This window comes from Homo sapiens, chromosome 20 (assembly GCF_000001405.40).
Source record: "Homo sapiens chromosome 20, GRCh38.p14 Primary Assembly".
In the NCBI taxonomy this organism is placed as follows: Eukaryota; Metazoa; Chordata; class Mammalia; order Primates; family Hominidae; genus Homo; species Homo sapiens.
In genome coordinates, this window is record NC_000020.11 from 43,664,792 (window position 1) to 43,689,148 (window position 24,357).

The window sequence follows — 24,357 nt, forward strand, 5'->3', positions numbered from 1 at the left end:
CTCGAGAGGCTGAGGTGGGAGAATCATTTGAATCCGGGAAGTGGGGGTTGCAGTGAGCCAAGATCACACCACTGCACTCCAGTCTGGGCAATAAAGCAAGACTTGGTCTAAAAAAAAAAAAAAAGTTAAGTAATTTGCCTAAGATACCGCAACTGAATGGTGGAGCTGGGACTCAAACCCCAGGAAGTTTGGCTGTGGAGGCTGTGCTTTCAATGAAGTGGGCATGTCCACATTAATTACTTTATAAGGGGAGTGGGCGGGAGAAACCCTGAATTAAGTGATGTGGAAGCTTCTAGCACTTAAGATGTGAGTTAGTCTTCCTTCTGTGGTAAGTGAAGTTTGCAGCAGCTGGTGGCTGGACTGTCCCCAGGTGGCCAGCAGCTTCTGGAAGGGGGCTCTGAGGCCTGAACAGGGGCTAAAAGGCTGGGGTTTGATTTGGTTTCTTCAGCGTCCTGTCTCAGAGCTCATTTATCTTCCTCTCAGCACTGCTCCCAGGAAGTCCAGTGTGACTTGATCCTTGGTACTTGGTAAATGTCAATCTAATATAGAAAACCTTTGCTAAATCTCAAGGAAAGACAGTCTCACTGTCTGTCGCCCAGGCTGGAGTGCAGTGGCGGGATGACAAGGGCTTGAGCCCCTCGAACTCCTGGGCTCAAGCAATCCTCCTGCCTCTGCTTCCCAAGTAGCTGGGATTACAGGCATTCACCACCACAGCCAGGTAATTTCTTAATTTTTTGTAAAGACAGGGTCTCACTCTGATCCCCAGGCTGGTCTCAAACTTTTGGACTGAATCAGTTCTCCCACCTCGGCCTCCCAAACTGCTAGGATTACTGGCATGAGCCACTAAATCTGGGCTAATCTCTGGGAGTTTAAACCCAAGGTAAACAATTCAATGCAACAAACCTTTGCCTGGGGCTTCTTATGTCAGGTCTTCTACTGGGCCCTGGAGATACTGGTGTGCATTGAGAGGCCACCTGGACCTCAGGATGCTCCCAGTTCAAAGGGGGAAATGCAGAAGTCTACAGGCAGATTGTGGGCAGTGGACCCCAAATTAAATAGGAATCAGCCACGTGGGAGGGGCAGGAAGTGTTCCTGCCCTGGGTAATGGCTCAGGCAAAGGCAAAGAGGCCGTTTCTTTTGGCCAGGGCTGGGTGGTGGTCTGGAAGATCAGATAAATGTGATTGTGGAGTAAGGAATTTACCCTGAGGGAGAGGAGGATGGTTTTAAATTCTGGAAAGAGCTCACGCCTGCAATCCCAGCACTTTGGGAGGACAAAGCGGCAGGATCTCTTGAGCCCAGGAGTTTCTAGACCAGTCTAGGCAACAGCAACATAGCAAGACACCCCCTTCTCTTAAAAAAAAAAAAAAAAGCGCAGTGGCTCACTCCTGTAATTCCAGCACTTTGGGAGGCCGAGGCGGGCGGATCACGAGGTCAGGAGACCTATACCATCCTGGCCAACATGGTGAAACCTCGTCTCTACTAAAATACTAAAAAAAAAAAAAAAAAAAAAAAAAAATTGCCGGGCGTGGTGGTGTGCGCCTGTAGTTCCAGCTACTTGGGAGGCTGAGGCGGGGGAGTCGCTTGAACCCGGGAGGTGGAGGTTGCAGTGAGTCAAGATCGCGCCACTGCACTCCAGCCTGGCGACAAAGCGAGACACCGTCTCAAAAAAAAAAAAAAAAAAAATCAGCCGGGTGTAGTGGCGAGTGCCTGGTCTTAGCTACCCGTGAGTTGAGGTAGGAGGATCGCTTGAGCCTAGGAGGTGGAGGTTGCAGTGAGCTATGATCGCGAAACTGCACTCCAGCCTGGGCGACAGAGCAAGACCCTGCCTCTAAGAAAAATGAACAACAAAAAATAAAGTCTATTAAGGAGGGTCTCTTGGAGGCAGGAGAGGAAGCAGGGAGAGGCACAGGTAGGGTGAGGAGCCGCTTTAGGGTGCGGCTCTAGGGACCCAGTAGTGGCTTGGACTAGCGTGGGGGATTCCGCCCTGGCGCTTTCCCTGGCTGGCTCTCCCATGCTCGCGCCTCGCTCCCCTTCCTCGGTCTTCGCTATGTGGGATACTCCTGGGCCGCCCCGGACTGACACGTGAGCCAGGCCTCGGTCACATCCCGGCCCGCTCCACAACTCCGAAGTAGCGGCCGCCGCCCCTGTCCTGCAGCCGGCCCTGGAGGGTCTGGGCAGGTGCCGCCCCGCAGGCCCCGCCCCGCCCCGCCCCCTGGCTCCGCCCCTCACTCAGGCCCCTCCCCCGGCGCCCGCGCGCCAGGACTGGGCGGCGCCGACGCGCTTGGCGGGAGATAGAAAAGTGCTTCAACCCGCGCCGGCGGCGACTGCAGTTCCTGCGAGCGAGGAGCGCGGGACCTGCTGACACGCTGACGCCTTCGAGCGCGGCCCGGGGCCCGGAGCGGCCGGAGCAGCCCGGGTCCTGACCCCGGCCCGGCTCCCGCTCCGGGCTCTGCCGGCGGGCGGGCGAGCGCGGCGCGGTCCGGGCCGGGGGGATGTCTCGGCGGACGCGCTGGTGAGACGAGCCGGGAGGGCTTGGGCCCCTCCCCCTCCCTTTAACTCACCCCTCCCCCACCCAGATACCCCCGACCCTCCCCAGGCTCCCACCAAGCTGGGGTGTGTGTGTGTGTTGGGGGTGGGGTGTTTCCGCGGAAATGCTGCGTCCTGGGCCCTCTGAGGCAGGGGCGCGCGTAAAGCTGGGGGGCTCTTGGGCGTCCCTCGCGGCTCCCCAGGCCTGTTGGGCCTCGGAGCTGGGACGGGCGGGTCTCTTGGGACCCGGGCCAAGCCGTGCATGATGTCATTTTGTCTCCCGCCTAATTGCGGGATGGGGGTGGGCCGGCCGGTGTCAGCTGGCAGGGCCTTCGCCGGCGAGGGAGGCGACCCCTGGGAGCGAGAGGGAGTCTTCAAGTCCCAGCCAGTGGGAGACCGAGCCTGGGAGGCACTTGTTGCAGCCTAGTTTTGGGTCAACTTGGTGGGTGGGCTTTGCTCCTTAACATTCCGGGGAGCACAGAGTCCCCCAAGCCCTCTCCCCTGGACTGAGAAGGGTGCTGAGTTGGGGGCTCTTTTGTCTCTCCCACCTGGGTTCCGCGCCCCAGCTTGGTTCGGTTTGAGACCTCTCTTCCTGTTCCCACGAGGAGTTTTGGGCAGCTGGGGTTGAAGGTGCGGGGGAGAGAGAGAGTCCCTGGGGCAAAGGCAGGAACTGCGGTCTCCATTTTACTTATTTCCCCAGAGACTTAAGTGGCAGAGCTGAGCCCGGAGCCAGGTCTGTGGCTCCAGATCCCTGTCTTACACCTGTGCGCCTGGGGCCTGAGCTCCAAGCTTTTCAGCCTGCCTGGGAGACAGGACAGTGGGGTCCTGACCTCTTCCCTGCCTGGATCGCTGCAGCTCAGATAACCTTCGTTCCCTCTTTTTTTTTTTTTTTTTTTTTTTTGAGAAGGAGTCTCGCTCTGATGCCCAGGCTGGAGTGCAGTGGCGCGATCTTGGCTCACTGCAACCTCCGCCTCCCAGGTTCAAGCGATTCTCCTGCCTCAGCTTCCCGAGTAGCTGGGACTTCAGGCACGTGTCACCACGTCGGGCTAATTTTTTGTATGTTTAGTAGAGACAGGGTTTCACCATGTTAGCCAGGATGGTCTCGATCTCCTGACCTTGTGTTCCGCCCGACTCGGCCTCCCAAAGTGCTGGGATTACAGGCGTGAGCCACCTTGCCCGGCCAAACTTCGGTCCCTCTTTAGACGATAGCCTCATCTAAAGATGAAGCCTTCCATCCCTCTAGATTTTTGCCCTTTCAGGCTGAGGATAGGGATCTGAGCACAGGGACTGTGTTCCTCAGGCCCCACTTTCCCAGGCCAATGTCCAGGAAGAGTTTTCTGTTCAGGCGCCTATCAGACCCTGCCCTGGTTTTTTTTTTTTTTTTTTTTGAGGCAGGGTCTCCGTCTGCAGTCCAGGCCGGAGTGCTGTGGTGCTGTCATAGCTCACTGTAGCCCCAACCTCCCAGGTTCAAGTGATCTTCCCAACTCAGCCCGCTGGGACTGCAGGCTGAGTAGCTGGGACTATGGGCACGGGCCGCCACAACTGGCTAATTTATTTAATTATTTAGGAGACAGAGCCACTCTGTGTTGCCCAGGCTGGAGTGCAGTGGCACAATCTCGGCTCACTGCAGCCTCTGCCTCCCGGGTTCAAGGAATTCTGTCTCAGCCTCCCAAGTACCTGGGACTATGGGCACACGCCGCCACGCCTGGCTAATTTTTTGGATTTTTAGTAGAGATGGGTTTCACTGTGTTGCTCAGGCAATCCGCCTGCCTTGGCCTCACAGAGTGCTAGGATTACAGGCGTGAGCCACCGCGTCTGGCGTGTTTTATTTTGTGTAGAGATGGAAGGGGGCGGGAGTGGCCTCGCGTTGTGTCTCACCTCACTATGTTACCCAGGCTGGTCTCGAACTCCTGGCTTCCAGGGATTCTCCCCCACTTGGCCTCCCAAAGTGTCGGGATTACAGGTGTGAGCCACCTTGCCTGGCGCCATCCTGATTTTTTGTTCAGGAAGAGTTATTCCAGGAGTGACTGCCTCTAGACCACCCCAGGTCCTGGGCTACTTCTCCCATGAGGGGCTCAGTGGAGGAACCCCTCCTGTGTGAAGGATGGCAGCTCCACAGCCCTCAGCCCATTTCCTGGCCACTTGCTGTAACTCTCCTCTGCCCTAGTGCCCCACTTCCCGCTTTGTCTCTGACTCACCCCTGTCCTGGAGCAGAGCCCAGCACGTTGAAGGGCAAAAGGTAGGGTATGTTGGACCACAATGTGGTTGCCACCACTAACTGGACTCTGCTTTTTCAGCTGGGATTAGGATATGAGGACTTGCAGGTGTCTGGAGTTAGGAAGGTTCAGAGCCTGGCTCTATGAACTTGGCAGGTGGCCTCACCCCTCTGAGCCTCAATTTCCGCATCTGTTAAGGGGGATAATGAGAATGTGGGTGAAGTTGATGGCCAGCACATATGGTAAAGTATATCATCTCACAGAAATGCCCCAGCTGTCTGAGATGCTGACCCTATCAAACAGCATTGGAGGCTGGGTGTGGTAGCTCATGCCTGTAATCCCAGCACTTTGGGAGGCCAAGAGTTCAAGACCAGCTTGACCAATATGGTGAAACTCCTCGTCTCTACCAAAAATACAAAAATTAGCCGGGCGTGGTGGTAGGCGCCTGTAAGCGCGGCTATTCGGGAGGCTGAGGCAGGAGAATTCACTTGAACCCAGGAGGCAGAGGTTGCTGTGAGTCGAGATCATGCCACTGCACTTCAGCCTGGGTGACAAAGCGAGACTCTATCTCAAAATAAACAAACAAACAAACAAACAGCATTGGAGCACCAGGGAGTGTCCATGCAGACATCATTTCATCCTTGAAAGAATATTTGCTGACCTTCTGTTAGAAGCCAGGCCTTTGTGCTGGATGCTGGAGAAGCAAAGATGGTTTCTGTCACGAGCTGTCTGGGGGCAGTTGATTTTAAAGCCAACTTCATTCTGTTATTAGTATCTTCTGGATTTTTGCCTTCTATATTGAAGTGGTGGAGGACCCATGAACTGGGTCAGGAATGAATTCCAGATCCTTCTGTATTGCTGACTGTAGACACCGTCCCTCCTTTCCTATTTCTGAAAATTTTTTTCTTTTGAAATTGGGTCTTGCCTGGCCTAAAAAATTTAATTAGTATTTCTTATTGACTAATAGGCAGCAGCTTTGCACATTTTTTCATTTATTTGTATATTCAGTCAGTCCCTGGGCAAACATTTCTTAAGCCCTTTTGGTGATAAACCCTGGGATGCCAAGGTGGAGCTGACCTTTGTAGATGATGTGGAGGAGACAGGCAGTTGCAGTGTAAGGGCCCGAGACAGGAGGGTTTCCCATGTGCTATGGAAGTATAGGAGTGACTCTAGGAAGCAACGGTGAGCTTTGGAGAACAAGGAGAAGGTAATGTGGATAGCACAGTAAGCCTTCTTTCATTTGTTTCATTTCCAAACAAGACTTGCCTTGTTTGGAAACCTGTAAGCTTTTTCCAGTTTACAAATGTCTGACCTAGCAACTTACCTGACCAACGTGACCTGATGCAGGTCCTGTCGGGTGGAGTTGGGGAAAGATTACTAACTTTCCTCAAGCACCTGACATCTCTGGAGGTGGATCCTATGATTTCTTTTTTTTCTTTTTTTTTTTTTTTTTGAGACGGAGTCTCCCTCTGTTGCCCAGGCTGCAGTGCAGTGGCACGATCTTGACTCACTGCAACCTCTGCCTCCTGGGTTCAAGCAATTCTCCTGCCTCAGTTTCCCGAGTAGCTAGGACTACAGGTACATGCCACCATGCCCAGCTAATTTTTGTGGGTTTTTATTTATTTATTTTTTTTGAGATGGAGTCTCGTCTGTCGCCCAGGCTGGAGTGCAGTGGCACAATCTCTGATCTCTGCTCACTGCAACCTCCGCCTCCTGGGTTCAAGCAGTTTTTCTGCCTCATCCTCTCGAGTAGCTGGGATTACAGGCGCATGCCACCACACCCAGCTAATTTTTTTGTATTTTTAGTAGAGACATCATTTCACCATGTTGACCAGGCTGGTCTCGAACTCCTGACCTTGTGATCCACCCACCTCGGCCTCCCAAAGTGCTGGGATTACAGGTATGAGTCACCGCGCCCGGCTGATTTCCATTTTTTTTTTTTTTTTTTTTTTTTGTGAGATGGAGTTTCGCTCTTGTTGCCCAGGCTAGAGTGCAATGGCTTGATCTTGGCTCACCGCAACCTCCGCCTCCCAGGTTCAAGCGATTCTCCTGCCTCAGCCTCCTGAGTAGCTGGGATTACAGGCATGCACCATCACACCCGGCTAATTTTGTATTTTTAGTAGAGACGGGGTTTCTCCATGTTGGTCAGGCTAGTCTCGAACTCCCGACCTCAGGTGATCTGCCTGCCTTGGCCCCAAAGTGCTGGGATTACAGGTGTGAGCCACCACACCTGGCCCGATTTCCATTTTTGTAACTATTAAACTGGATAAATACGAGGATTTTTTGGAGCAACTTGGAAGATTGCCTTGTAGAGTAAAAACACCCAGAATTCAAAGCAGCTCGTACTGTTTTTTTTTTTTCCCCTACAGCGGCGTTAGAAGATATTGTACACTGGGCCGGGCGCGGTGGCTCACGCCTGTAATCCCAGCCCGTTGGGAGGCCAAGGCGGGTGGATCACGAGGTCAGGAGTTCAAGACCAGCCTGGCCAAGATGGTGAAACCCTGTATCTGCTAAAAATACAAAAAAAATTAGCCGGGCGCGGTGGCAGGCGTCTGTAATCTCAGCTACTCAGGAGGCTGAGGCAGGAGAATCGCCTGAACCTGGGGGGCAGAGGTTACAGTGAGCTGAGATGTCGCCACTTCACTCTAGCCTGGGTGACAGAGTGAAACTCCGTCTCAAAAAAAAAAAATAGATACTGTACACTGATTTTTCTCTCCATTAATTATGCCTGTGTGTAGGCAAGGATTGAAAAGGGATTTGCAAAAATGGACATAAGCCAGACACGGTGGTGCACACCTGTAATCCAAGTTACTTTGGAAGGCTGAGGCAGGAGGATCCCTTGAGCCCAGGAGTTCAAGACCAGTCTGGGTAGCATACTGAGACCCTGTCATTACAAAAAAAAAAAAAATCAACACACGAAAAAACAACTTGGCCAGTCACAGTGGCTCAGGCCCGTAATACCAGCACTTTGGGAGGCCAAGGTGGGAGGATTGTTTAAGGCCAGGAGTTCCAGATGAGCCTAGGCAAAATAGTGAGATGTTTCTACAAAAAAATACAAAATAGCCAGGCATAGTGTCATATGCAAGTTGTTCCAGGTACTTGGGAGGCTGAGGTGGGAGAATTGGATTGCTTGAGCCTAGGAGTTGGAGGCTGCAGTGAGCTGTGATTATGCCACTACATTCCAGTCTGGGTAACAGAGCCAGACTCTGTCCCTAAAAGAAGAAAAACAACAAATGGACATAGAGAATATATTCAGAATTTTTTTTCCAAATAACTAATATCTCTTAAAATCTTGATGCCTGTTAACTTCATCAACTTTATTCCTTAAAATATCCATGCAGGTTTGTTACTGAAAGGAAAAAGCGATAGTCTGATTTTGAACATAATATTCTTGGTGAAATCTTAACTTTCTTTTTCCTTTTCTTTTTTTGAGACAGTCTTGCTTTGTCACCCAGGCTGGAGTGCAGTGACATGATCTCGGCTCATTGCAACCTTCACCTCCCGGGTTCAAGCAATTCTTCTGCCTCAGCCTCCTGAGTAGCTGAGATTACAGGCATGCGCCACCGCACCCAGCTAATATTTGTATTTTTAGTAGAGATGGGGTTTCACTGTGTTTGATCAGGCTGGTCTTGAACTCCTGACCTCAAGCAATCCACCCACCTCGGCCTCCCAAAGTGCTGGGATTACAGGTTTGAGCCACTGTGCCTGGCCTCTTTTTTTTTTTTTTTTACAGCTTTTGAAATCACTAGGGCATTCCTGAAAATAAAAAAGAAGAAAGTAGCTCTTAACCCTATTTCATTAAAAAATTTAAAAAGAGGTGAGGTCGGGTGTGGTGGCTCATGCCTATAGTCCCAACACTTTGGGAGGCCGTGGTGGGAGGATTGCTTGAGCCCAGGAGTTCAAAACCACCCTGGGCAATATGGTGAGACCCCGTCTCTACAAAAAATACAAAAGTTAGCCGGGCGTGGTGGCATACCCCTGTAGTCACAGCTACTTAGGAGGCTGGGGCGGGACGATCATTTGAGTCCAGGAGTTCAAGGCTGCAGTGAGCTACGATCATGCCACACTGAATTCCAGCCCAGTGACAGAGTGAGACCCTGTCTCAATAAAAATAAGTGAAGCAGAAGTGCCTATGTCTTAAAAAGAAGAAAAAGTAAGAGCCTCTCTCCCCCAGACCTTTCCCTAGGGTGGGCTGGCCGCTGCCTACACGTTCTCCATTATGTAAAACATATGGACACACCATCCTTGACCCTTGGCCTGCTTTCCCCATAGCGAGGATCTGGATGAGCTGCACTACCAGGACACAGATTCAGATGTGCCGGAGCAGAGGGATAGCAAGTGCAAGGTCAAATGGACCCATGAGGAGGTGAGTGCCATGGGGAAGAGAGGGTTGATGGCAGCTGGGGGCTGTCCAGAGGAACTGAGCCTGGAGTGTATTTGATGTCTCATCAGATGGGATGAAGAGGAGGAGCCGGTGAAGGAAGGGATGGGTCCTCTGATTGTCCTCATGCCTCTTCTCAGAGCATTCTGGGGGATTCTCAATTTTGAGGACTCAGTGGGTGGGAAGGGGATGTGTGTCCTAGACCTCAGGGCCCATTGTGTCTCCTGAGCAGCTGCCATGTTCTATGTCATGGACATTGATTGTGCTTTTTGCCTTTTGACTGCTAGGAGGTTTGGCCAAATCTGTAACTCCCCCCACCCTTTTTTTTTTTTTTTTTTTGAGACAGAGTTTCGCTCTTGTCACCCAGGCTAGAGGGCAATGGCATAATCTCAGCTCACTGCAACCTCTGCCTCCTGGGTTCAAGCGATTCTCCTGCCTCAGGTGCGATTACAGGCGTGAGCCACCACATCCAGCTAATTTTTTTTTTTTTTTGAGACAGTCTCGCTTTGTCACCCAGGCTGGAGTATAGTGGCATGATCTTGGCTCACTGCAACCTCTGCCTCCCAGGTTCCAAGCAATTCTCCTGCCTCAGCCTCCCGAGTAGCTGGGATTGCAGGCATGCGCCACCATGCCCAGCTAATTTTTTTTTTTTGTATTTTTAGTAGATACGGGGGCTTCACCATGCTGGCCAGGCTGGTCTCGAACTCCTGACCTCATGATCTGCCCGCCTCGGCCTCCCATAGTGCTGGGATTACAGGCGTGAGCCACTGCACCCGGCCTTAATTTTTGTATTTTTTAGTAGAGACGGAGTTTCACCATGTTGGCCAGGCTAATCTCGAACTCCTGACCCCAGGTGATCCACCTGCCTCGGCCTCCCAAAGTGCTGGGATTACAGGCATGAGTAACCGCACCCTGCCAACTCCCACTTTCTTTTTCTAAAATAATTAACTGTATTGAACCTTCTGACATCAAGCCCTGAATTGGTTTCCTTCTAGCTCCATCTTTTTATTTTATAATAAATGTGATTGAAATATAATTTATATGTAATCATATGCAATCAAATGCCCTTTTTTTAATTCCTTTTTGAGACAGGGTTTTTGCTCTGTCACCCAGGCTGGAGTGCCGTGCTAGCATGGCTCACTGTAGCCTCAACTTTCTGGGCTCAAGCAATCCTCCCCCGTCAGCCTCCTGAGTAGCTGGAACCACAGGCATGCGCCACCACGCCTGGCTAATTTTTGTATTTTTTGTAGAGACAGGGTCTCGCCATGTTGCCCAGGCTGGTCTCAAACTTCTAGGCTCAAGCATTTCTCCCACCTCAGCCTTCCAAAGTGCTAGGATTATAGGTATGAGCCACTGTCCCTGGCCAAATGCCCCTTTTTATGGTGAACAGTTTGATCAGTTTTTTTTCTTTTTTTTTTTTTGAGATGGAGTCTCTGTCTCCCAGGCTGAAGTGCAATGGCGTGATCTCCACTCACTGCAACTTCCGCCTCCTGGGTTCAAGCGATTCTCCTGCCTGAGCCTCCTGAGTAGCTAGGATTACAGGCACCCGCCATCATGCCCAGCTAATTCTTGTATTTTTGTAGAGATGGGGTTTCACCATGTTGGCCAGGCTAGTCTTGAACTCCTGACCTCAAGCAATCCACCCACCTTGGCCTCCCAAAGTGCTGGGATTACAGGCATGAGCCACTACGGTGAGCCGGTTTGATCACTTTTGACAAATGCATATACCAATGTAAGCACCACCCTGATTATCCCAAGAAGTTTTCTGTGGTCCTTTGTGGTCAGGCTTCCCCAGCTCCAGGAAATTGCTGATTTGATTTGTTTTGCCTTTTTCTTTTTGGGGGCTTTGTGTGTGTGTGTGTGTGTGTGTGTTGTTTTTAACTTTAGGTTCAGGGGTATATGTGCAGGTTTATTATATAGGTAAATTGCATGTCGTGGGAGTTTGATGTACAGGTTATTTTGTTACCTAGGTAATAAGCGTGGTACCCAATAGGTAGTTTTTTTTTTTTTAAGGCAGTCTCTCTCTGTTGCCCAGGCTGTAGTGCAGTGGTGTGATCTCAGCTCACTGCAACCTCTGCCTCCTGGGTTCAAGCGATTCTCCTACCTCAGCCTCTCAAGTAGCTGGGATTACAGGCACGTGCCACCACGCCTGGTAAATTTTTGTATTTTTAGTAGAGACAAGGTTTCTACTTGTCTCTACTAAAATGTTCACCAGGCTGATCTTGAACTCCTGACCTCAGGTGATCTTCCCACTTCAGCCTCCTGAAGTGCTGGGATTACAGGCGTGAGCCACTGCACCCAGCCCCAATAGGTAGTTTTTTGATCCTCATCCTCCTCCCACCCTCCACCCTCCTCCCACCCTCCACCCTCAAGTAGGCCCTGGTCTCCTTGTTCCCTTCTTCGTGTCCATGTGTATTCAGTGTTTGGCTCTTACTTATAGATGAGAATATGCGGTATTTGGTTTTCTGTTCCTGTGTTTGCTTAGGATAATATGTTTTGCCTGTTCTTGAATCTTCTATAAATGAAATCATACGGTTACATTCTTTGCGTCTGGCTTTTGCTCAGCATTGTGTTGGGTGATTCAGTAACTTGTCCTTTTCTATCACTGGATAGTAGTCCATTGTATGGGTATACCACACAGCGTTTCACCTGTTGATGGATGTTTGGACTGTTTGCAGTTTTTGGCTATCGTGTATAGCGCTACCTTGAAGATTCTTGCATAAGTCTTTTTGCAAATACATGTTTCCCTTTCTTTTGGGAAGATAGGTATGGTCATGGGGTAGGTGTATGTTTAGTTTTACAGAAACTGCCTTTTTCTTAATGGATTGTACCATTTTAGACTTCTACTGGCCTTTTTATTTTACCTCAGTTTTTCTTAGTGTCTTCAGTTCTTCAGTGTTTTTTGTTTTGTTTTGTTTTCAACCCATAGTTAACATCATAGATGTCTTTAATTTTAGGATTGGGTTTTTTTTTTTGTATTGTATTATTTGTATTGCTTTTGTTTTTTGTTTTTAAATAGAGAAGAGGGTCTTGCTATGTTGCCCAGGCTGGTCTCCTGGGCTCAAGCAATCTTCCTGCCTTGGCCTCCCAAAGTGTTGGGATTACAGGCAGAAGCCACCATGACTAGCTTGTTTTGTTTTTTCTAAAACTTGCTGTGTGAGTGGTAAACTCCTTTTAAATCATGAAAGATGTTTTTCCAGATGCGTGCTAAGCAAACCTTTTCTGCTCATCCTGTTGTGGACCAGGGACTATATTTGGCTCTTGTGGGCTTAGAAGAATAAACAAGACCAAGTTCCTACCCCAGAGCAGATTTCTCTCTGGAATGGAGAGATAAGACCGTGTGCAGGTCCCTGGAATGTGCTGTGGTCATCCGCGGCACCGGTAGGATCAGTGTCTGTTGGTGCTCACTGTTGTAGCTCTGGGCACCTGCTAATTGTAAGATGAGTGGATGGCAAGTACCTTTAGAAGGAGAGATTACTGCTGCCTGAAGAGGTTAAGGAAACTTATGTGGAGAAAGTGACCTTTGAGCTAAGGATGAGGATTTGGAAATTTAGCAGTGAGGGAAGACCTACAGTGTGCAAAAAGTGGGTAAGTCAGATCAGGAAAGGGGCTATAGGTGGAGAAAAGCCAGTACAGGAGGCCAGTTTGGTGGGAGGGAAGGGTCCTTGAAGGGGAGAAATGGTTGACGGAGATGGCCGCCCGGCCACCCCTACTGGGAAGTGAGGAGCCCCTCTGCCTGGCCAGCCGCCCCGACTGGGAGGGAGGTGGGGGGGTCAGCCCCCTGCCTGGCCAGCCACCCCGTCCGGGAGGTGAGGGGCGCCTCTGCCCGGCCGCCCCTACTGGGAAGTGAGGAGCCCCTCTGCCCGGCCACCACCCCGTCTGGGAGGTGTACCCAACAGCTCATTGAGAACGGGCCATGATGACAATGGCAGTTTTGTGGAATAGAAAGAGGGGAAAGGTGGGGAAAAGATTGAGAAATCGGATGGTTGCCGTGTCTGTGTAGAAAGAGGTAGACATGGGAGACTTTTCATTTTGTTCTGTACTAAGAAAAATTCTTCTGCCTTGGGATCCTGTTGATCTATGATCTTACCCCCAACCCTGTGCTCTCTGAAACGTGCTGTGTCCACTCAGGGTTAAATGGATTAAGGGCGGTGCAAGATGTGCTTTGTTAAACAGACGCTTGAAGGCAGCATGCTCGTTAAGAGTCATCACCACTCCCTAATCTCAAGTACCCAGGGACACAAACACTGCGGAAGGCCGCAGGGTCCTCTGCCTAGGAAAACCAGAGACCTTTGTTTACTTGTTTATCTGCTGACCTTCCCTCCACTATTGTCCTGTGACCCTGCCAAATCCCCCTCTGCGAGAAACACCCAAGAATGATCAATAAAAAAATAAATAAAGAAAGAAAGAAAGAAAGAAAAAAAAAAAAAAAGAAAGGATACACTGGGGCTGATTCCTCGAGGGCCTTGAATGTTGGGCTTAGAAGCTGTAGGATTGTTCAGCTCTCAATGCAGAGCCAGGTTAGCTTGGTTTTTGGATTGTTTTTTCTAACTCTGAACTGGACAAAGATGGAAGGTTTTTAATGCAGGGAGTGATGTGAATGTAGCCGGGCTTCAGGGGAGTTCATCTGCTGTGTGGGGGATCGATAAGAGAGATGGGTGGCCTGGCGCGGTGGCTCACGCCTGTAATCCCAGCACTTTGGGAGGCTGAGATGGGTGGATCACCTGAGATTAGGAGTTCCAGACCAGCCTGGCCAACATGGCTGAATCCTGTCTCTACTAAAAATACAAAAAATTAGCTGGGTGTGGTTGTGGGCACCTGTAATCCCAGCAATTTGGGAGGCTGAGGCAGGAGAATCACTTGAACCCAGAGGCGGAAGTTGCAGTGAGCTGAGATCGCACCATTGCACTCCAGCCTGGACAACAAGAGCAAAACTCCGTCTCAAAAAAAAAAAAAAAAAGAAAAAAACATATAGAGCACAGGCTGGGGCTGAGAGACCAGTGCTGAGGGAGTGGGAGAGGGCGCTGTGCCAGGCAAGCAAGAGGTGGCTGTGGAGAGGGCAGTGCGGGGATGGAGCTGACCACGTTGGGGAGTCCCAGGGTGGGTGGGAAGAATGTAAGTTTGGAAATGATAGTATCCAGGTCAGTTGTCAGGGAGAGTGGTGGTGCCAGAGATGGACTGGGGAACACAGAAGGAAGCAGGTAAGAGCCTGGCCAGGGCAGGGAGGGGACATGGTATAGGTAGGGAAGGGTGTCCTGGGCTGGCTCACCCAGAGAATTTATGGTGACTTTGCCCAGCCTGTGCTGGTTCTGGCCAAGCTGTAGTTGAGGGCTTTGATACCTGTCGTGGGCCACGTTGTGACCAATTTTTCTGTCTAGGAGCATGTATACATATATACACATATAAATTTGTATGTGTGACAAAACCACCTCACTTTAAATTTATCCCCTTTTCCTCCCCCTTAAATCTACCCCTTAACCATCTTTAACTTTGTAGTTCAGTGGTGTTAAGTATTTTCAGATTGTTTTGCAAAAGATCTCTAAAACTTTTTCATCTTTGAAATTGGAAACGAGGCTGAGTGTGGTGGTTTATGCCTGTAAACCGAGTACTGTGGGAGGCCGAAGCGGGAGGATTGCCTGAGTGTAAGAGTCCTAGACCAGCTTGGAAAACATAGCAAGACCCTATCATTAAAAACAAAACAAAAAATACCCACCAACTTGGTGGGTCACGGTGGCTCAGGCCTGTAATCCCAGCACTTTGGGAGGCCGAGGCAGGAGATTGCTTGAGGCAGTCTAGACCAGCCTGAAGAACATGTGAGATCCTGTCTCTACAACAAAAAAATGAAAATTAGCCAGGCCTGGTGGTGTGTGTCTGTGGTCCCACCTACTTGGGAGGCTGAGGTGGAAGGATCACTTGAGCCCATGAGGTTGAGGATGCGGGGTGGGCTGTGTTTGCACCACTGCACTCTAGCTTGGGTGACCAAGAGAGACCCTATCTCAAAAAAAAAAAAAGGATGGAAAACTGAAACTAATTAAACATGAATTCACTCTCCTCCCACCCTCCAGCCCTTGGCAGCTATCTTTCTACTCTGTTTCTGTGATTTTGACTATTTTATTTATTTATTTTATTTTTTCAAGACAGAGTCTTGCTCTGTTGCCCATGCTGCAGTGCAATGGCATGATCTTAGCTCACTGCAACCTCTACTTCCCGGGTTCAAGTGAATCTTCTGCTGCAGCCTCCCGAGTAGCTGGGATCACAGGCGCCTGCCACCACGCTGGGCTAATTTTTGTATTAGTAGAGACGAACTTTCACCATGTTGGCCAGGCTGGTCTCAAACTCCTGACCTCAGGTGATCCACCTGCCTCGGCCTCCTGAAGTGTTGGGGTTAAAGGCATGAGCCACTGCTCCCTGCCTGATTTTGACTATTTTAGATGCTTCCTGTGAGTGGAATCCTGAGTATTTGCCCTGTCTGGCTATTTGACTTAGCATAGTGTCCTCAGCTTTCATCCATGCTGTAGCATGTGTCAGAATTCTCTCGACTGAGTAATATCCATTGTTTATATGCATGACATTTTCTTTCTTTTTTCTTTTGTTTGAGATGGAGTCTCACTCTTGCTCTGTTGCCGAGGCTGGAGTGCAGTGGCATGATCTCGGCTCACTGCAACCTCCGCCTCCCAGGTTCAAGCAATTCTTCCTCATCCTCCCGAGTAGCTGGGATTACAGGCACCCACCACCACACCTGGCTAATTTTTGTATTTTTAATAGAGATGGGGTTTCGCCATATTGGCCAGGCTGGTCTCGAACCCCTGACCTCGTGATCTGCCCACCACGGCCTCCCAAAGTGCTGGGATTACAGGTGTGAGCCACTGCGCCTGGCTTGACATTTTCTTTATATATTAATTGATTTGACTGAGGAAAACTTTATATATAATTAACTACAACCATTTGTAGTACAATTCAGTAGAACCACCAGCACAGCCGGGCTATAGGACATTTCCATTGTCCCCAAGACATTCCTTGCCCCCCTTTGCTGTTCATCCCTTTCCACCACTGGCCTCAGACAACCACTTTTTGTCCCTATAGCTTAGTTTACATTTTCTAGAACTTCATGTGCATGGAATCATACGGCATGTACCCTCCTGTGTCTGGCTTCTTTCACACATCATAGTGACACTGAGATTCATGTTATCGCGTGAATTGGTAGTTCATTTCGGGAGGCTATTTTGATAGATACTAGCCTGTCTTCTAACTACTCTTGTTTTTGCCCAGACCTCCAGCTTCTAGTGCTGAATCACTGTCAGCTCTGGCCTGAGTTCAGTAATGACCTCCTTATGTCCGCTCGGCTCCCTTCCAGCCCCTTTCCCACCCTGTAGCAGGCAAAGAGAACTTTACAAAGTTCTCTTCATAGAACGTTTGACTGTGACCACCCACTCTTCAAACACATCAGTGGTTTTGCATGATAGATGGTTGAACTGATGCTGCGAATGGTCTGGCCCCTATGGTTCCCTCCAAAATCATCTTGGATCTGTTTTGCTTCCTCCATTTTAGCTATTCTGCATTTCCTTGGAACCTGTCCCTTAGTGTCCCTGAGTAGGCAGTCACCACGTACCTCTCCATATCTCCCAGCAGGGGGTGGCTTTACTTTTGTTCCTGTGAGCCTTCCATTGGCAGCTGGCTCCCTCCCATGAGATCAGGGGCAGCTCTTTTGCTGCCTGCTGCTGCAGCTGTAGTGCCTGGCACCTTGTACGTATTCACTTCATGACGGAATGGATGAACGAGGCTGTTCTTTTAGATTGGGCTCTGTCACGGGCAGCCCTGAGGTTTTCTGCACGTATGTGTGCTGAGCCCCTGTCTTTCTGGTGTTGGCAGGACGAGCAGCTGAGGGCCCTGGTGAGGCAGTTTGGACAGCAGGACTGGAAGTTCCTGGCCAGCCACTTCCCTGTGAGTACAGTCCTGCTGTGGCCCTCCCTCGGGGCAAGGGCTCTGGGAGAACAGTGTGCCTGGGACAGACTTTGCCAAGGAGGGGAAAAGGGAGTTCCTTACTCAGCCCCTGAAAACAAAACCAAATAAAACAGGGCAAATGGACCTTTGTAGGATCTCTCTTCCCAAGCTGGCATTCAGGGTACACTGCTGTAAACATCTTCCAGCTCCTCAGCATGCCTGGTGGTCTTCAGGCTCTGAGACATTTGCAGCATGTGGTGCATATTTGCATTTCTTCCTGTAAGTCAGGAGTGAACAGGTGTTCGGTTTCTCAACAGTGAGACTGAAACTGAGGGGAAGTGATGCTTTCAGCAGGCTTCATGGTGAGGCCCCTGCAGGGCTGGCAGGTGCTACCACATTCGAGTATTTAGAGCCTCCTGATGGTGAGGGGGTTCCCCTCAGGACCTCCTTCTCAGGCCCTCCCACCCCTGACCCACAGGTGTCTGGGAGGGAGGGGGTGTGGCAGGAGCTGCCATATGTCTTACTGCCTGGGCTGCTCAGAAAGCATGTCACCAGATCCTTTCCTGCCCCATTTCCTCATCTCCCCCTCTTCTGTGTAATCTGAACTCTTCAGGGAATAAAAATGCTCTCCTAGAAAAAAGCAGGGGTCCCTGACGTACAAGGAATTAAAGACTTGTGATGGTGGCCCCTTGTGTTCGGTTGGTAGGGAGCGGCTTCCCACAGGGGACCGAGTTTGCCCTCTCGTGTAGCAAAGGGAAACCGCCCATGTTCCGGCATGTGGGCTTGCAGTGAGTGGTGGCTGCATGGAACAGGACACACCTACCCAAGGTGTGCCTAGTCCCAGGCCATAGGCCCCTGAGCCTAGTACTTAACCAGGCCCCCAGCCCGAGGTCCCAGAAGTTCTCACAGATTGGTTTGTTCTTCTGTTCTTTTCCCAGAACCGCACTGACCAGCAATGCCAGTACAGGTGGCTGAGAGTTTTGAATCCAGACCTTGTCAAGGGGCCATGGACCAAAGAGGAAGACCAAAAAGTAACTGCTGGGACAGTGCCTTGCACACAGTGGGTCTTCACCCACCAGTGTACCTGGGGACTGTGAGATTGCCTTGTGTTGGGGTTGGGGGTGTCAAGCTGAGCATTGGGTGTGAGTTGTCTACCAGCCAGTCTGGACACTCTTATGCTGCCCTGGCTCCAGCCCTGAGATTCCAAGTTTCAGAGTGTCTCCAGGCTTCCTCACTCATGGTCTGAGGGCTATTGGGCTGATTACTCGGCTTCTCTTGTTCCACCCATGGAGGGGAGCAGTAGCAGTGCAGCGTTGTCATGAGAATTAAGCAGGTGATGCTTGTAGGGGGCTTGCAGGTTCTGTACATTTGCTCTCAGCAAATGGCAGCTGCTGCTATCCCTGATTTAATGATGATTGCACCCTGTGACCTTCACAGGGCACAGATGCCTTCTTTTGATCGCCACAGCAGTCCTGTGAGGTGGGCAGAAGTTGTTAGTCCCATTTTATAGATGGAGAGAGCAAGGCTCAGAGAGGTTGGGGATGTCCCCAACCTAGAAGAGGCAATAAGTGCCATGACTGCCTGGGGCTACCTTGGGAGTTCCCTCATCTCTTCTCCTCGATACCAGCCCAGAGGATGCCATTCCACTGAGGCAGGCATGGCTTATGAGAAAGAGGGAGATGAAGGGAACTAGGCATTTTTTTTTTTTTTTTTTTTGAGACGGAGTCTTGCTTTGTCGCTCAGGTTAGAGTGCAGTGGCGCGATCTCAGCTCACTGCATCCTCCGCCTCCCGGGTTCAAGCGATTCTCGTGTCTTAGCCTCTTGATTAGCTGGGATTACAGGCACGTGCTACCACACCTGGCTAATTTTTTTGTATTTTTAATAGAGATGGGGTTTCACCATGTTGGTCAGGCTGGTCTTGAACTCCTGACCTCGTGATCTACCCGCCTCAGCCTCCCAAAGTGCTGGAATTACAGACGTGAGCCACCGTGCCTGGCCTGGAACTAGGCGTTTTTAAATTAATTTTTTTTTGAGACGAGTCTTACTCTGTTGCACTGGCTGGAGAGTGTTGGCTAATTTTTTTGATTGATTGAGGCGGGGGTTCGCTCTGTCACCCAGGCTGGGGTACAGTGACATAATCACGGCTCATTGCAGCCTCGACCTCCCAGGCCCAAGCAATCCTCCCACCTCAGCTTCTAAAGTAGCTGGTGCCACATGTGCCACCATGTCTGGCTAATCTTTTTGAAAAATTTTTGTAGAGAGAGTATCTCACTATGCTGCCCAGGCTGGTTGAACTTCTGGGCTCAAATGATCCTCCCACGTCAGCCTCTCAAAGTGCTGGGATTGTAGGTATGAGCCACCATTCCTGTTCTTTTTTTTTTTTTCCTTGTTAATTTTTTTGAGACTGAGTCTTGCTCTGTCGTCCAGGCTGGAGTGCAATGGCGTGATCTTGGCTTACTGCAACCTTCGCCTCCTGGGTTCCAGCAATTCTCTGCCTCAGCCTCCTGAGGAGCTGGGATTACAGGCGCCTGCCACCACGCCCGGCTAATTTTTGTATTTTTAGTAGAGACAGGGTTTCACCATGTTGGCCTGACTGGTCTTGAACTCCTGACCTTGTGATCTACCCACCTCAGCCTCCCAAAGTGCTGGGATTACAAGCGTGAGCCACTGTGCCCGGCCTTTTTTTTTTTTTTTTTAATTTGTAGAGACAGGGTCTTCCTATGTTTTCCAGGCTGGTCTTGAACTACAGGGCTCAAGCTATCTTCTCGCCTTGGCCTCCCAAAGTTCTGGGATTACAGTCATGAGCCATGGCTGGCACTTCGCCTTAAAATTAATTTTTAAGTAACTCGGCGTGGTGGTGGGGTGCCTGTAGTTGGGAGGCTGAGTTGGGAGGATTGCTTGAGCCCAGGAGTTCGAGGTTACAGTGAGCTACGATCACACCACTGTACTCCAGTCTGGGTGACAGAGTGAGACCCTGTCTCTTAAAAAAAAAAAAACACAAAAGAAAACACCTGGGCGTGGTGGCTCACACCTGTAATCCCAGCATTTTGGGAGCCTGGGGTGGGTGGATCACCTGATGTCAGGAGTTTGAGACCAGCCTGACCAACATGGCGAAACCCCGTCTCTACTAAAAATGCAAAGATGAGCTGGGTGTGGTAACCCATACCTGTAATCCCAGCTACTTGGGAGGCTGAGGCAGGAGAATCACCTGAAGTGGGGAGGCGGAGGTTGCAGTGAGCCGAGATGGCGCCATTGTACTCCAGCCTGGGCAGCAGGAGCGAAACTCTGTCTCAAAAAAAAAAAAAAAAGAATGAAATAAAATTTATTTATTTATTTATTTTTGAGATGGAGTTTCGCTCTTGTTGCCCAGGCTGGAGTGCAGTGGCATGATCTCAGCTCATTGCAACCTCCTCCTCCTAGGGACAAGCGATTTTCCTGCCTCAGCCTCCGGAGCAGCTGAGATTACAGGTGCATGCTACCACGCCTGGCTGATTTTTGCATTTTTAGTAGAGACGGGGTTTTGCCATGTTGGTCAGGCTGGTCTTGAACTCCTGACCTCAGGTGATCCACCTGCCTCGACCTCCCAAAGTGCTTGGATTACAGGTGTGAGCCACCGGGCCTGGCCTGAGACCTTGTCTCTTAAGAATAAAATAAAATTTAGTTTGAAAATACTTTTTTGGCTGGGTGTGGCCAGGAATTTGAGAACAGCCTGGCCAACATGGTGAAACCCTGTCTACCAAAAAATACAAAAATTAGCCAGGTGTCTTGGTGTGCCTGTAATCCCAGCTACTCAGGAGGCTGAGGCGGGAGAATCGCTTGAACCCAGGAGACGGAGGTTGCAGTGAGCTGAGATCGCCCCACTGCACCCCAGCCTGGGCGACAGAGTGAGACACTGTCTCAAAAAAATGGCGGTGGCTCACGCCTATAATCCCAGCACTTTGGGAGGCCAAGTCGGGCGGATCACCTGAGGTCGGGAGTTCAAGACCAGCCTTATCAACATGGAGAAACCCCGTCTCTACTAAAAATACAAAATTAGCCGGGCATGGTGGTGCATGCCTGTAATCTCAGCTACTTGGGAGGCTGAGGCAGGAGAATCACTTGAACCCGGAAGGCGGAGGTTGTGGTGAGCCAAGATCGTGCCATTGCACTCCAGCCTGGGCAACAAGAGCAAAACTTCGTCTCAAAAAAAATAAATAAAAAATAAAAAGTGAAAACATAAAATCTTTAAAAAAAAAAATCAAAGTGATATGTGGTTGCTATAAAAATTTAAACCATACAGAAGTGAAGTCAAATATTTCTTCACCAAAATCTTTGCCAAAAGAAGCATCCACTCTTCCCAGTTTCTTGTGGCCTGTGTGCACATGAGAACGCGTGTGTCTGTTGTGTAGGTGGGGCCTGGCCTGGCTCTTGTGGCTGCGTATGTTGTGGTTTGTGTCCTGAGCTAGGAAGCCTGACTGAGGGCAGGTGGGGACTCAGGTCTGGCTAGGTCAGCCCGCGATGCCTGCTACCATGGCTCAGCCTGTGCCCTCCCAATTTCCATGGAAGTGCTGGAGGGTCTTGTGGCAGCCTGGGGCCTGGCTGGTGTGGGAAAGTCTGTTTCCCACCTTTAGTTTGGACTCCGTGTGTGTTGTTCCTCCTCATCCCTCTGCTCTTTTCTACTTAGCTTATTGGGTTGAGCCCTGGAGAGGGAAGCAGGACTCTGGCGCCTTTGTTTACCCCCACTTGATCTCTACTCTAGAAAGGGTCTCTGGTATTCTTGGCCTAGATTTATTCCAGGCAATAAATGAGAGGGATGCGGTCAGATCCTCAGGTAGGCCCTGTGGGCTACACAAAGTCATCCTGGGTGGCATCCCCTGCAGCTCGCTCAGTGTTGCCTGAGGGGATGTGGTAGGTGGCACCTCTCAGGGCCATGGCAAGGCTCAGGTGGATGTGAAGGGCTATGGTGGGGGCGAGAGAGGGGCCGGTGCAAGTGGCTACCCAGAGACTTTTCTCTAAGGTCATCGAGCTGGTTAAGAAGTATGGCACAAAGCAGTGGACACTGATTGCCAAGCACCTGAAGGGCCGGCTGGGGAAGCAGTGCCGTGAACGCTGGCACAACCACCTCAACCCTGAGGTGAAGAAGTCTTGCTGGACCGAGGAGGAGGACCGCATCATCTGCGAGGCCCACAAGGTGCTGGGCAACCGCTGGGCCGAGATCGCCAAGATGTTGCCAGGGAGGTAAGCTGTCTTCTTGGGGGTTGGGACAGGTTCCCGGGAGGCCAGGCCCGTGTTTCTGATGGAGGAGGGTTCCTGGGTGGGTATTGTGGTCCTGTGCTCTTGTTCTGTAACACCCAGCCTCGGCTCCAGGGCTCCCAGAGGCATGCATAGTCAGGAGGAAGGGTGGTTCCCCAGGGAAGGCCCTGTCTTCTGTCAGCTTAAAAGAACAGATGGTGATAAGGGAGGCCTCAGCAAGAAATCGGGAACCCTGGAGTCTAGTTCTCATCCTGTTCCCAGCTCACTGTGTCTTCTTGGTTAGCCTCTTCTCTTCGACTTCAGTTTCTTCTAACACAGAATAGGCTTGAGATGTGGGATAGATGGGCTTTCTTTAAGAAGAAAATGATCAAAAATCAGGTAGTACTATAATCTGCTAAAAGGTGTTTTTTGTTTTTCTTTTTCTTAAAAGGTTTAATAATGAAAAACATCAGTCTTTGTCACCACTCTGTTAAATGACTCTACTAAAACAGACTCATCTTTTTGAGTTCTTTATCTCTTTAAGTGATGTGCCATTTTTCATATTGATCCTCTGCTATGGGAGATTAGCTTTCTTAGGCTTTCCCACTCCCCATATGTCCCTATTGCTCCAATAATGTATGATAGTTATTAAAATAATAATGTTTATGGACGGGCATGGTGGCTCATGCCTGTAATCCTAGCACGTTGGGTGGCTGAGGTGGGTGGATCACTTGAGGTCAGGAGTTCGAGACCAGCCTGGCCAACACAGTGAAGCCTCATCTCTACTAAAAATACAAAAAATTAGCGGGATGTGTTGGTGAGCCTGTAATCCCAGCTACTTGGGAGGCTGAGGCAGAATTGCTTGAACCCAGGAGGCAGAGGTTGCAGTGAGCCGAGATCATATCACTGCACTCCAGCCTGGGCGACAGAGCGAGACTGTCTCCAAAAAAAAAAAAAAAAATTTTTTTTTCCCCTAAATACTGAAAGCATTCCATGATCTTTTCTCCTATTTTTCATCTGTTTTGCTTCATTTTCTAGGAGACTTCTTATCTTCTCTTTTTTTGAAATTATTTTCCCTAAAAATTTTACTTTCTAAGGGCTCCTCCCTTTTCTGGCACTCTTTTTTTATTTTTTATTTATTCTTTTTTTTGGGAGACCAGAGTCTCGCTCTGTCATCCAGGCTGGAGTGCAGTGGCGTGATCCGGGCTCACTGCAACCTCTGCCTCCCAGGTTGAAACGATTCTCCTGGTTCAGCCTCCCAAGTAGCTGGGACTACAGGTCTGTGCCACCATGCCTGGCTAATTTTTGTATTTTTAGTAGAGATGGAATTTCACCATGTTGGCCAGGCTGGTCTCGAACTCTTGACCTCCTGCCCACCTCAGCCTCACAAAGTGTTGGGATTACAGGCATGAGCCACTATGCCCAGACTCTTTAAAACAGGGTTCTCACTCTGTCACCTAAGCTGGAGTGCAGGGGCATAATCATGGCTCATTGCAGCTTCACCCTCCTGAACTCAAGCAATCCTTCTGCCTCAGCCTTCCAAGGACCTGGGACTACAAGCTCATGCCAGCATACCCAGCTAGTTTTAAAATTTTTTGTAGGGGCAGGGTCTCCCTATGTTGCCCAGGCTGGTCCCAAAGTGCTGGGATTACAGGCATGAGCCACCACACCTGGCCTGGCACCCTATTCTTATTTTGTGGTTTCAATAGCTTACTTCTCTGTCAATATTATATTTTTTTTAAGACCGAATTTCGCTCTTATCACCCAGGCTGGAGTGTAGTGGCATGATCTCGGCTCACTGCAACCTCTGCCTCCTGGGTTCAAGTGATTCTCCTGCCTCAGCCTCCTGAGTAGCTGGGATTATAGGCGCCCGCCACCACACCTGACTAATTTTTGTATTTTTAGTAGAGATGGGGTTTTGCCATCTTGGCCAGGCTAGTCTTGAACTCCTGACCTCAGGTGATCTGCCTGCCTTGGGCCTCCCGAAGTGCTGAGATTACAGGTGTGAGCCACCGCACCTGGCCCTAAGCTGGATATTGTTCCCCTGTTTTCCATCTTATGAAAACTTGTAAAAAATCTCTT

At 50.1% G+C, this 24,357-nt stretch overlaps 1 protein-coding gene across 2 annotated transcripts in view, besides 6 other annotated features; it reads left to right on the top strand.

Annotated features, from left to right (window-relative positions):
• Nucleotides 2,118-2,412: a silencer, noted in NCBI's record as "tiled region #2194; HepG2 Repressive DNase matched - State 4:PromP". NCBI's record gives its function as "represses a minimal TATA promoter and a strong SV40 promoter by Sharpr-MPRA in HepG2 cells {active_cell/tissue: HepG2}" and the evidence as "EXISTENCE:reporter gene assay evidence [ECO:0000049][PMID:27701403]".
• Nucleotides 2,118-2,412: an enhancer, noted in NCBI's record as "tiled region #2194; K562 Activating DNase unmatched - State 1:Tss". NCBI's record gives its function as "activates a minimal TATA promoter and a strong SV40 promoter by Sharpr-MPRA in K562 cells {active_cell/tissue: K562}" and the evidence as "EXISTENCE:reporter gene assay evidence [ECO:0000049][PMID:27701403]".
• Nucleotides 2,118-2,528: a biological region, named in NCBI's record as "Sharpr-MPRA regulatory region 2194".
• Nucleotides 2,149-2,528: a silencer, noted in NCBI's record as "silent region_12929". NCBI's record gives its function as "represses an Ori minimal core promoter by ATAC-STARR-seq in GM12878 lymphoblastoid cells {active_cell/tissue: GM12878}" and the evidence as "EXISTENCE:reporter gene assay evidence [ECO:0000049][PMID:35858748]".
• Nucleotides 2,323-24,357, top strand: part of MYBL2 (MYB proto-oncogene like 2) — a 49,369-nt gene continuing 27,334 nt past the window's right edge. The window contains exons 1-5 of one of the 2 annotated variants that reach the window (NM_002466.4): nt 2,323-2,512; nt 9,015-9,108; nt 16,993-17,064; nt 18,003-18,095; nt 22,061-22,281. In NM_002466.4, coding sequence (NP_002457.1) covers nt 2,493-2,512; nt 9,015-9,108; nt 16,993-17,064; nt 18,003-18,095; nt 22,061-22,281 — 500 coding nt within the window. In that variant the 5' untranslated portion in view covers nt 2,323-2,492. The remainder of the gene's footprint in view (nt 2,513-9,014; nt 9,109-16,992; nt 17,065-18,002; nt 18,096-22,060; nt 22,282-24,357) is intronic. The other variant, NM_001278610.2, reaches the window with a different exon arrangement.
• Nucleotides 3,179-3,228: an enhancer, noted in NCBI's record as "active region_17906". NCBI's record gives its function as "activates an Ori minimal core promoter by ATAC-STARR-seq in GM12878 lymphoblastoid cells {active_cell/tissue: GM12878}" and the evidence as "EXISTENCE:reporter gene assay evidence [ECO:0000049][PMID:35858748]".
• Nucleotides 13,119-13,809: an enhancer, noted in NCBI's record as "NANOG-H3K27ac-H3K4me1 hESC enhancer chr20:42306550-42307240 (GRCh37/hg19 assembly coordinates)". NCBI's record gives its function as "activates a minimal SCP1, AML or CMV promoter by ChIP-STARR-seq in naive H9 embryonic stem cells {active_cell/tissue: H9 hESC(naive)}" and the evidence as "EXISTENCE:reporter gene assay evidence [ECO:0000049][PMID:30033119]".